General features: G+C 43.3%; 1 protein-coding gene across 11 annotated transcripts in view, besides 1 other annotated feature; it reads right to left on the bottom strand.

Annotated features, from left to right (window-relative positions):
• Nucleotides 1-12,639, bottom strand: part of PRKCA (protein kinase C alpha) — a 508,131-nt gene that overhangs the window by 290,979 nt on the left and 204,513 nt on the right. Inside the window, exons 1-2 of one of the 11 annotated variants that reach the window (XM_024450830.2) lie at nucleotides 6,384-6,424; nucleotides 5,299-5,444 (exon numbers count right to left, since the gene is read on the bottom strand). The exons of 9 other annotated variants lie outside the window; for them this stretch is intronic. In XM_024450830.2, coding sequence (XP_024306598.1) covers nucleotides 5,299-5,328 — 30 coding nt within the window. In that variant the 5' untranslated portion in view covers nucleotides 5,329-5,444; nucleotides 6,384-6,424. Of the gene's footprint in view, nucleotides 1-5,298; nucleotides 6,425-12,639 lie in introns of those variants that run through there. One more of the 11 variants, XM_024450829.2, reaches the window with a different exon arrangement.
• Nucleotides 12,220-12,514: an enhancer, noted in NCBI's record as "tiled region #12401; K562 Activating DNase matched - State 5:Enh". NCBI's record gives its function as "activates a minimal TATA promoter and a strong SV40 promoter by Sharpr-MPRA in K562 cells {active_cell/tissue: K562}" and the evidence as "EXISTENCE:reporter gene assay evidence [ECO:0000049][PMID:27701403]".

The raw sequence follows: 12,639 nt of genomic DNA, 5'->3' as shown, positions 1-12,639 counted from the left end.
GTGGTGTGTGAATATCTGCTAATGAGCTCCCAGGTGATACTGATGCTGAGGTCTGGCAAGCCCCTTTGAGAACTGCTGGCATAGGAAATGTTAAAGAAAGTGTGGGCTGGAGGAATTAGTGCTTACCAAGCACCAGGCGCTTCAAGATCCTGTATCATCATCCACCCCATTTAATTCCCAGTATAACTTGTAAAAGAATCACCAATTGAAAGGTGAGGAAACCGAGGGCCAGGAAGGTTATGGAATTTGCTGATAAGTGGGGAGGCAAGAGATAGTCCCAGGGCAGCAAGAGTCCACTATACCTTCCAACTGTTTCCCACCTTAAGGCCCCAGTCAACAAAATCACGTACATCATAAAATGCCTTGCATGAATATCTGACTGGACCATCTTACAAGCTATAAACTTGCTAATAAAAACATTCTAGCTAGAGGCCTCCAAGCACTCAAACACAATATGCACAGCCATTTTTCATCCCAGGAGCCAATTTCCATCTAAACTGTTGTTGGAAATTTCCAACAATCCCTGTGAACTTTCGGCTTGCTCCTTTCCTGGATTCACTCAACAATCTTCCAAATCCTCCTTTCTCAATAAGCCAGCCCTAATGGAGCACCTAACAACGGACGGCCCCAAACCAGGACATAGCTCACTATCTGCAATAGAAATAGCATGAGCCCATTGCCTCCACTTTTCCAGGTTCTATGACTGAAGACCCTGATGTTTGTGTAGTGTTTATGGGTGTCAAGGTTAAATGTCTTTAGTGTAACCTCCAAACACAGATTTCTGTGCTTTGTAGTGTACGCATCATAGCACAACACTTGATATTAAAGCTCTGTGTTGATGATAATGACCTGCAGTAACTCTCCATTTCAGGGAGTCCCTTACACGGTATTAACAAAGCAACTCCAAGATCTGTTTCCATGACAACAGCAGCATCACACAGGAAAGAGAATGAGGAGAGTACAAAAAGGCTTTTTAGAAACTGTTACCAAAATGCACACCCAGTTTAGGAGACTAAAAATTTTCTGGGCATTAGATTTTGGGTTAAAAATCTTTTCTTTTTTGAATGTATTCTCTAATGATGTGACTATTTTTAAATGTCTAATAGGGACCGATTCAGAACACTATAAATACCATCCATCTGTCAAATTTCAGGAGGTCTAAAATTAGGTTACCAGGTTCATCAATTTCCCTAAGAAGATTCTCGTAAAAATAGAACAAACCTTTCTGGTAGCATTCACAGTAAAATCCTGACAGTTCAAATGCTGTGGTAAATAAACTATACTTATTTAAAAGCTAAAAACTATTAAGCAACTCCAAAAAATCATATTTTTTCCTGAAAAAAGTTAAGACAGAGAATATCTTACGAAACAGGAGTTTCTTAGGAGGCCCTTCAACTTACAAAGCCACAGACTGAAAATACCTCCCATCAGAATGTGGTATAAGCAAATCACATATTATCAACCAACTACAAGGAAAAGACACATCACATTTTCCTTTCTACTGTGCTCATCATCAACCTCTGCTTATGTTTGCTTTTCTCTGGTGGATGAGGTGGAAATTAAATGAAACACCAAACAATGCCCGTAGCCTTCTCCTCGCCTAATATTTTTTTCTGCCATTATTCCTTCATTGACCATCAAAGACGACAGGGCCATCTTACTAAAAATATCCTGGAACAACAGCCAGCATTGAGATCTTTTTTTTTTCTCTCAGCTACTGGGAGGTAAGGTTATTTCACCTACATGTGTACCAAGTTATTTTTAAAACTTGCCTTGTTCTTCTCTGGTTATTCTATTTCAATAAGCAAAAGGGAACCTGCAGCCGTACTCACAACCATCCTAAATATCCTAGCTGTTAGATGGTCCACGTTATGGTCATCAACACAGACACAGAGTGGACTTTTCATGCGTAAACTGATAAGCAGAAACTGCTTTGCAAAAACAGCTTGATGAGTAATTTTCAACCTTGTCACAAGCATGGAAGTTGCACACCTCAACTGGATGGCACTTGCGCCAAGAACTTGGTGTTAATTCTTTTTTCTCAGTAACTATCCATTATGCTAAGAGGCCACAACAGATTGGCTCAGAAAAACCTGTAAGAATGGTTTTGGCGTGAAAAAAGTTAGAACAGAAATTCTGTCTAACGTCAAGGTTAACTCAAGCAGAATCTGATCTCTATTCATTTACTTGCTAATTCAATAAATATTTGTTGAGAGCCAGATACATGCCAGATTCTGTGTAAGCACTGAGGACAGGGACGGGGAGATGAAAGATAGGTTTTGCCCTCAAGGGCCACAGTGCATGGGCAGACACAGAGGAACAATTACAACAAGTGGTATGAAAGTCTTCAAAGAGGCACGCAGGAGGTGGAAGAGAAACAACTGAATTGGGGGCGAGGAGGGGAAGAAAGGAGTCCATTGGGGGACAGGGAGTAGTCAGGAAAATCTCCTGAGATACTAATTCTGAAAATTTTTTATTTTTTGAGATGGACTCTCACTCTGTCGCCAGGCTGGAGTGTAGTGGCCCAATCTCAGCTCACTGCAACCTCTACCTCCCAGGTTCAAGTGATTCTCCTGCCTCAGCCTCCCAAGTAGCTGGGACTACAGGTGCGCACCACCACGCCCAGCTAATTTTTGTATTTTTAGCAGAGACAGGGTTTCACCATGTTGGCCAGGATGGTCTCGATTTCTTGACCTCGTGATCCGCCCGCCTCGGCTTCCCAAAGTGCTGGGATTACAGGCGTGAACCACCGGCCAATTCCGATTCTTGAAGAAAGAGTACAAATTAGCCAGGTGGCACAGGAGGAGCTGAGCTATTCCAGAGAGAAAACCCAATATCCATCCTAGCCTCGCATCAAATTCCGGCCTAGGGGAACCATCACTGCTGCTTCGGCCCAGATCAGAGCTAGCATTTCTTGTTAAGCCACCTCAGCCTCCCTGTTCTGCAGTCCTTGTTCTGTTGCTGGAAACATCTACTCACTGGAGGTTGTTCTCAGGGTTGTATAAAATGCTGTCCCCTGATAACGCCTTGTCAGTGGTCTGGGTCAGCACATGGAGTTCCCAAGGTGAGTCCACCCTTCTTCCTAGAAAGGCAGCTCTCATATCAAGTCCTGCAACTTATTCTTTTTTTTTTTAGACAGAGTCTTGCTCTGTTGCCCAGGCTGGAGTGCAGTGGTATGATCTCAGCTCACTGCAACCTCTGCCTCCCAGGTTCAAGTGATTCTGCAGCCTCAACCTCCCAAGTAGCTGGGATTACAGGCACCCACCATCACGCCTGGCTAATTTTTGTATTTTTAGTAGAGACGGGGTCTCACCATGCTGGCCAGGCTCGTCTCGAACCCCTGACCTCAAGTGATTCACCCGCCTCGGCTTTCCAAAGTGCTGGGATTGCAGGGGTGAGCCACCACGCCCAGCCTTATTCTTTTTTTCACACTGAACATTCCTGGCTCATTTTCTGGGTCTCTATGCTATGGCTTACCTGATCCCCTATCCTCCCAAGTGCCCCTGGTAATACCAGTTTCTTGATCCCTCCTTTAATACCCGCAGCCTGTGCTGCACATTGTCCTGCAGATGAAGTCTGCTACCCACAGAGGAGCCCCGCCTCCCTCAGCCTTGGGGATGCTCTGCCGTTTCTACAGGCAACCCAAGCTGCTTTAATGAATACTGAGTTTATTAATACACATGCTTTGCTTCAATCAATCCTAATATCTACTATCAGGAAGTATTATATAATAAGAATATTATGACTGAATAAACACAAGTATTGAATCTCAAAATATTTCATGATTACAACAAAATGCTCCTAACAAAATAAACAACTTAGACATAGTACAACTACCAAACAGAGAGAACCAACAAAGTGTTTAAAGATAAAAGAAAAGCCTTGTTTAAGAAAAACAAAAAACAAAAACAAAAACTCATTGCTGGGCATGGTGACTCACACCTGTAATCCCAACACTCTGCAAAGCCGAGGTGGGCGGATTGCTTCAGCCCAGGAGTTCAAGACCAGCCAGGGCAACATAGCGAGGCCCCATCTCTACTAAAAATATAAAAAATTAGCTGGGTATGGTGATGCACTCCTGCAGTCCCAGCTACTTGGGAGACTGATGGGGGGAGGATCACCTGAGCCCAGAGAATTGAGGCCGCAGTGAGCTGTGACCACCCCACTGCACTCAAGCCTGGGCAAAAGGAGTGAGACACCCTACCCCCCGCAAAAAAAGAAAAACTCACACAAGACTTCCTCATCCTTGTCTCCTTTTTCTGTCATCAGCAGATCAAGAAACTCAGTTAATTCCACTGTATCTCAAAACCTGTCATGACGTCATGTGACAGAATCCTTCCTGTACTAGAGATGAAGTCACAGCAATAGGAGCATTGAAAAGACTTACACACACGTGTGCACACATGGTAAGGCAATCCTCAGCAACTTTACGACAGAGTTCACTGTTAGTTACCTATCCAACATTCATTCCCTTCTTTTTTTTTTTTTTTTTTGAGACAGAGTCTTGCTCTGTCACCTAGGCTGGAGTGCAGCGGCGCAATCTTGGCTCACTGCAACCTCGGCTCACTGCAACCTCCGCCTCCCAGGTTCAAGTGATTCTCCTGCTTCAGCCTCCCGAGTAGCTGGGACTAGAGGCGCAGGCCACCATGCCCAGCTAATTTTTTTGCATTTTTAGTAGAGATGGGGTTTCACCATGTTAGCCAGGATGGTCTTGATCTCCTGACCTAGTGATCCACTCGCCTCGGCCTCCCAAAGTGCTGGGATTATGCATGTGAGCCACCGCACCCGGCCACATCCCTTCTTTATCACAAAACTAAGTTAACTTTGTTCCAGGTAGAAACATGCTCAACAAAAGCAAGCAAACAAAACCATCCAGATAAACCAGAAACCTAACATTTTCCAAATCGGAGTGGCTACATGATATGGTTCTGGCCAAGATGATGTAAATGGAAACTGCTGGAATGGAATTGTTTCTGGAGGAGTTCTTTGAATGGGAACGGCCTTAACAAGCATCTGTGATTTGAGTTCACCTTTGGCTCACCTCCTGCTTGGAGCACGGGTAGGATGCTAATGAAGCAGGCATCTCACACCTACCGGGTAACAAAGATGAGAATGAAAGAAAGAAGCCTACAAGACAAGACAGCTAAACTAAACGCTGGAGGAGGCCGGGTCCCGCACAGAAACATGGAGCTGCTGTATCAGCTTTGGACTGCCCTGTTCTGGACATTTTGTTAAATGAGGAGAGCGAGCCTCCTATTCAGTTCAAGTCGCTGCTTAGTCAGGTTTTCTATTACTCACGTTTGAATCCCAGGATGACACACTTAGCATGCAGCAGTGTAGATATCTGCAACAGACAACTTTCTCATCACACTGTTGGGCGAAGGAGAGTTCTCAGATGGGTGGGTATGTTTCATTCATGTAGCATTCTGGGAGGTGACAGTGCTCTGTCATATTTCAAGAGAATTACATGGCTTAGACTAGAGAAAGGTACAAGTACAGTCGCCCTTTTATCTGTAGGGCCTACATCCCAAGAAACCCCAGTAAATGCCTGAAACCGTGGCTAGTACCAAACCCTATATATACTATGTTTTTCCTATATGTACATACCCATGTTAAAGATTAATTTATAAATCAGGCACAGTAAGAGATTAATAACAATAACTAATTGTAAAATAGAACAATTATACTAATATACTGTATGTAATAAAAGTTATGTGAATGTGGTCTCTCAAAATATCTTAGTGTACTATACTAAAAGTAACTGAAACCACACATAAGTGGGGACTACTGTAAACAGAATTTTATAACTGTTGAAAATTGTATTGTTCTAACAAGATTAAATCCAAAAAGAAAATCTCCCTATGTCAAATCACCTTAAAAATCAATTAAATGATTTCCATCTTTTAGGTTCCCTTCTACTTCCTGTTCCCCTACACTAACTCTGCTGTAGTGACAATCATGGCAATAACTTTATATTAAGCTTTTGCACCTAGCATCATATAAGCATTTTTCTATGTCTTTATAAGCATCATTCTTAATGGCTGCATGTATTTTATCACACTGATGCATCAATTTACTTAACAACACCCTACTGCTCACCAAGAATATTAGCAGAAAAAAATTAATGACTGCAGAGGACAATCTAAGAGAGGACACTGATCCCAAGTCGATATGCAGCCATAATATTCAAGGTTAGGATCCTATTAGATACAAATTATTCTCAAGGTTTTAAATTCAACATCTACTTCACTTATCCAGAATGGGCAACATTCAGAATCAAGTGGTTAAGTATTCTAGTTAAATAAGATTGACTGTATGCATTTTATTTTAAAATTAATTTTATAGGCTGCATATTCTAAACATTAAGATTAAGAAGAACACACCTTTTATTTGGAAGATGTCCGATCACACGGCAGGTCTCAGGCTTCACTGGCATGGCATCACAGTCATAGAAAGGAAAAAGTCTCTATTGATCTTAGGACATTTCCCTTTAGTTTTATTGTTAGAAGGAAACAAAAAACCCTATAAGATCTTTCATCTCCCTTGTGCAACTAAAATGCATTCACTCATCCAGCCAACAAATATTCACTGAGCACCTACCACACATCAGGCACCATTTTAGGTTAAACAGAAGAGTAAGATAACATCCTGCTCTCACGGTGCTTTCAAGTTGGTGGAAAGATACCCAATAATCAAGTAACAAATAAATTGTATGGTTTTAGATGATGACAGGGGGTTTGAAGTGCATAAAGTAATAGAAAATAATGAGGGGGACCAGGTGCGGCGGCTCACGCCTGCAATCCCAGAACTTTGGGAGGCAGAGGCAGGCAGGTCAACTGAGGCCAGGAGTTCTAGATCAGCCTGGCCAACATGGTGAAACCCTGTCTGTACTAAAAATACAAAAATTAGCCGGGCATGGTGGTGCACGCCTATAATCCCAGCCACTCAAGAGGCTGAGGCAGGAGAATTGCTCGAACCTGGGAGGTGGAAGTTGCAGTGAGCCAAGTTCATGACACTGCACTCCAGCCTGGGCCAGCTCAAAAATAATAATAACAAGGGGGGTATGATCTAAAAAGGCTCTCGAAGGAGGCAGTATTTCAGCGGAGTCTGAAATCGTACGAATGAGCATCATGAAGATTAGTTCTACAAAGAGGAACCGCCCAGGGCAGCAGCCCTGGGGTGCCAATGAGCTTGGGATGTTCTGGTCAGTGAGGTGTGCAGGAGCCAGATCACAATCATGATGGGCCTTGTGGACCAAGGGAAAGAAAGAAATACACACACACACACACACACACACACACACACACTTTTTTTGTTGTTGTTGGAGACAGGGTCTCACTCTGTCATCAAGGCTGAGTGCAGTGGTGTGATCTTGGCTCACTGCAACATCCGCCTCCCAGGTTCAAGCAATTCTCCTGCCTCAGCCACCTGAGTAGCTGAGATTACAGGTGGCTGCCAACAAGCCCAGTTAATTTTTATATTTTTAGTAGAGACGGGGTTTCACCATGTTGGCCAGGCTGGGTATACATATTTTTTATTCCAGTGGTTAAGAGGAGGGCACTGAAGGGTTCAGATGGAGTGACACAATGATTTGATCTGCCTGATATTAACACTTGCAAAACATCAGACTAGCTACTGTGGAGGGTAAACTGTAGGGGATGGGAATGGAAACCAGGAGCCAAGCTAGGAAGCTATTTGGCAAGCAGTGTATTTCTTCAGAGGCGCTACTGTGCTGGACTCTCTCATTGTCTGGCTGCCGGATGGACAGAAGTTCACTATCTGACAGCTGGGTACAGTAGCTCATGCCTGTAATCCCAGCACTTTGGAAGGCTGAGGGGGGTAGAACACCCGAGATCAGGAGTTCAAGACCACCCTGGCCAATATGGTGAAACCCTGTCTCCACTAAAAATACAAAAATAAGCCGAGTGTGGTGGTGTGCACCTGTAATCCCAGCTACTCAGGAGGCTGAGGCAGGAGAATTTCTTGAGCCTGGGAGGCAGAGGTTGCAGTGAGCCAAGATCACACCACTGCACTCCAGCCTGGGTGACAGAGCGAGACTCCATCTCAAAAAAAAAAAAAAAGTTCACTATATGAGAGAATGACCTGATTTGAGCACACGTGTCCAAACTGACAGCGAGCAGCAAATCCGCAAGCCCAAGCCCCTTTAATACCTAGGAATGTGATTCCTTCTTAAATATTCAGCCTACCATTTTTCTTCCCCGTCTAGTTTTACACATTAAGTTATTCCCAGTTACCAATTCTTAATGGGGAAAAAACAACGATTACGATGAATTACCTAAATCCTGGTGCATCATTCAAACTGAGCAAATGCAAAAGAGAGCAGCCCTGCCTTTCTAATTTTAAGACCTGCTGTATGAACTCCCCTTCTTTTTCAAGCTTCCTTGGTCTTTTGTGATTAATTTTAGTAACTGGAGAACAACCTGTTTAAGAACAAATGAGTCATAATACAAGCTTAATATCTAGAAACCTAAAATCACCCACCTCCACAGAGAAGATCATTTTCGAGTATGAAATTCTTATGTTTTAAACACTGATATCCCATGCTCATTCTACAAAGCTTCCTGCCTTGAAAAAGGGATGAGGAGGAATAGGCTTGGGACTTGGAAGTGCAGAAAGCTAGCAATAGGCGTACTGCTTTCCTAAAGGCATTCATCACAGGCATGTTTTATGACACGAAAAAAAATGCCTCACCTATTGTAAAGCAGTTATAATCTGTATGTTTTAAAATACGTTATTTGGGGAGCAGGGGTGGGCAGATCACCGGAGTACCGGAGTTCGAGACCAGCCTGGGCAACAAGGCAAAATCCCGTCTCTACAAAAAACACGAAAATTAGCCGGGCATGGTGGTGCACGCCTGTAGTCCCAGCTACTAGGGAAGCTGAGGTAGGAGAATTACCTGAGCCCAGGGAGGTTGATGTTGCAGTGAGCCATGATTGGGCCACTGCACTCCAGCTTGGGCGACAGAGTGAGACCCCATCTCAAAAAAAAATAATAAAATTAGTAAAATACATACTTTCCTACAGCAATCTCATAACAATTTCTCATGAACAAGAATAGTAAACTCTAAGATTTCTGAAGACAGTCTCTGTCCTGGCAAAGGCAGGCTATGTAAAGTCAGGAATATACCCAGAAAGGCAGTGATCAAATGGGAAAGAAATCAAAGGCTATTGATTCCTTAAGCTGTTAGCTCTCTCCATTTCTCCCTTTTGAATTGCAATTGGTTACAAACCTCTCTACATGATAAGCCATCACTTCAAGGATGATCACCCTAAAATACGCAGGTGACAAAACAAGTTTTGCCTTTCAATAAGCAGTTTTTCCTACCAACATTTAACCAAAAAATGCTCATGAGGTTAAGAGATTCTGGTCACACAGCAGGCACAGTTCAGTGGGCATCTTGCATAATTTCGTTAGGCTTAAACTTCAAGCACTGAAGAGTCCCTCAACACAAAAAACCTTTTCCCCCCGAAAACAAAATTCTCTTTCTAAAGATGGTAACTTGTAATCAGGAAGTGGCTGGTATTGATTCTGAGAGAATCGCAGGAAACATTTCACAGATATTCCACTCCTAGGAGTGTCCAAGGGAGAGAATACAGTCATGGGTTCTTAGTTTCTGTTTCTTGTTGGGCCAGTAAAGCCCCTTCCTCATCCCTCTTTTCTGCTTATCACTAGAGATAGAAACTAAAAAACATGGCTTCAGGTTGCCAAAAGTCTCAAACAAAACAAAACAGAACCACCACGACAACAAAATAAGGTGGGTTGGACAAGCTTGACTCAAGTCTATGAAATTATTTTCATTTTCTTTAGGGAATCAAAGACTTCATTTTTTTTTTCCATTCATTCGCTCTTTCAACAAACATTAATGATCACCTACTATAAGTCAGAGATCATACTAGGCATTGGGGATACAGAGATGAATAAGATTTACAGGAAAGAATTATAACCCAAACAAGTCTGCCTGTGGCAAATGGTTACACTAACGGCCCCAGTGACTCATACCCCCAGGTTCCACACCCTTCTGTGATAGTTAATTTTATGTGCCGACTTGACTGGGCCCCAGGTGCCCAGACATTTGGTCATACGTTATTCTGGGTGTTTACACAATGGTGTTTTTGTATGATACTAACATTTAGATCGGGAGGTTGAGCAAAGCAGACTGTCCTTCCTAGTGCAGGTGGATCTCATCCAATCTGTTGAAGGCCTGAATGGAACAAAAAGACTGCCTCTCCCTCCAAGTAAGAGAGGATTCTTCTTGCCTGAAGGCCTTGAGATTTGGTCACCAGCTTTTTCTTGCTCTTGGACTCAATCTAAAACATCAGCTCTTACTTCAGAGCTGATGTCTTAAGCTTGCCTGCCTTTGAGCTTGGACTGGAACTTACATCATCAGCTCTCCTGGCTCCCAGACCTTCAGAATCAGACTGGTGCTATCCCATTGGCTCTCCTGGGTCTCCAACTTGCCAGCTCACCCTGCAAATCTTGGGACTTGCCGGCCTCCATAATTGCATTGAGTCAACATCTTATATTAAATCTCTTTACACACACACACACACACACACACACACACATACACACACACACACGTTCCTTTTCTCTGGAGAACCCTGATTCATAAACCTTCACAGTGACTCTGGGCTTTGGCCAATGAAACACTGGGAAACACAGCGCCAGGGGAAGCCTATTAAGTGTGTGTACACTGAGGTGTTCCTTCTTGGAAAACTGCCACTCCCTTGTAAAAAACCTGCACTACCCTCCCAAGCTAATGTGGGGCAGACCTTAGGACTCCCTGGCCAGCAGCCACAGCTAACAGCCAGTGAGGCCGCTGTGAGTGACTCTGTACCAACCTTGGAAGATGATAAGCAAGAGAGTGCATAATCACATTAAAAAACAAAAACAACAACAACTGGAGTACCACGGGGTGGCAATATGAAAGACAGTTCATAGAGGAGAAACAGTCCAGAGTCAGTAAGACCAACTCACAGCACACAACAAGGCCTTCACAAAGACAGTGGCTATGGAGATGGAGAGGAAAGAGAGTTGAAAGCAGAACTCGTAGCACTTGGAAACCTATTAGGTGCGTGAAACAAAAAAAAGATGGAGACAACCAAGAAAATCCTGAGACTTCTGGCTTGGGATCCTGTGTGCAGAGGACAGCTGGGTGTTACACCATGATCAATCAGGGTGACATAAGCAATGGCTTGCAGGGTGGAAGAGATGCACGGAGAATAGGCAAGAGTGCTGGAATGCTGAGGACAGTGATGTACGTGGGTGGCATGACATCCCCAACATCAGGAGCAGAGTGCTCTTTCCACACAAAGATGGTCACTGGGAAACCTTCACCCAGTCAGAACCACGGCAACGCCCAACGGCAGTGTTATCTTCGTGGCCATGACATTCTTCTTAAAACCTGACTTTTCCCCTTGGTTTATCATTCTCAAAACAAATATGTTTTGGAATGTGCTAGATTATAAGAATAAATAGAACAGACTGAATTACTAACAAAATAATTAGAATGGACCTTCCCACTGTCCATGTGACTCTTGCTAGTACAAGCCTCTACGTTTGAGGGTGCTGGATCCCAGCTTCTGGTACAACATAATAGAGGCGACTGTGAGGGGGGGTGCTCCCCACTTGCTGTTTTCTCTTAGCCACCATCAGAGGCTGAAACAGTGAGTGGGTTCATTTGATTGTTATGATTGGTTCTGGCTCATGATCCCTTTGTAAATAAATAAAATAACACAGTTATAATGACAGCTAGAATACCCACAGTAAACCAACCTTCTTTTCTTAGATCCTGGGAAATCTACTTCTCTGTCCACAGACCCTTCCTAAATCTCCTGCTGGAAATGTATTAAGCAGCAAAAACAGAAAACAAAGCCAAGGTGAGGAAGGTACCAGCTAACTGAATGGGACTCGGCTTAGAAGTTTAGAAGTTCAGCTTCTAAAAAACATGACTCATCAGAATCCAGGAATAAGCCCCAGCATGAGCCAAAAAGCTCTCTGGGCTGGCTTTCAGCTTAGGGTGTAGACACTTGAAACGGATCTTTCCAGAAACCCAATGTCCTGAAAAGTCCCACTCTGTACCCTCTTCAGAAGGACCTAAACCAAGTCTCCAAACTGCTGCCAGCTCCCACCCGGTCCCATCAGCCCTACATGCTCCTGTCTTTACTAGTTCACGTTGCTAATCTGCCTTGTGAAGGTTTTTACTGTTAATGTCTCAGGATTGTATGATTCCAAATTTCTTTTACCATTTTAAGATTTCTCATAGTCACAATGACCCCAGACTCCACCCACAAAAATGGAACCTTCACTGACAGAAAACTGCCCCTAAGTTAGCTTTGCTGTTCAGTCACGTGGTACTGTGGAAAAAGAACAGGTTTGGAAGTTGAGAGGTCCAGTTCAAAGCTTAGTGCTCCACTTACTACTGCACTCGGGAGAATCACTTAACTACCTCAAGCCTCAATTTGCACATCTGTACAATGGGAACAATAATGCATACCTAGTGCATTTATGTATGTTATCCGCTGAAGTGACTATTTGAATAGTAATATTTATTCATATACATGACTTCCCACTAAGGATAAGTTGTTTGAAGACAAGAACTGTGTTTTTTAACCTTTG

This window comes from Homo sapiens, chromosome 17, assembly GCF_000001405.40.
Source record: "Homo sapiens chromosome 17, GRCh38.p14 Primary Assembly".
Classification (NCBI taxonomy): Eukaryota; Metazoa; Chordata; class Mammalia; order Primates; family Hominidae; genus Homo; species Homo sapiens.
Note: the sequence above shows the minus strand (reverse complement) of the source record. Positions and strands in the feature narration are given on the sequence as shown.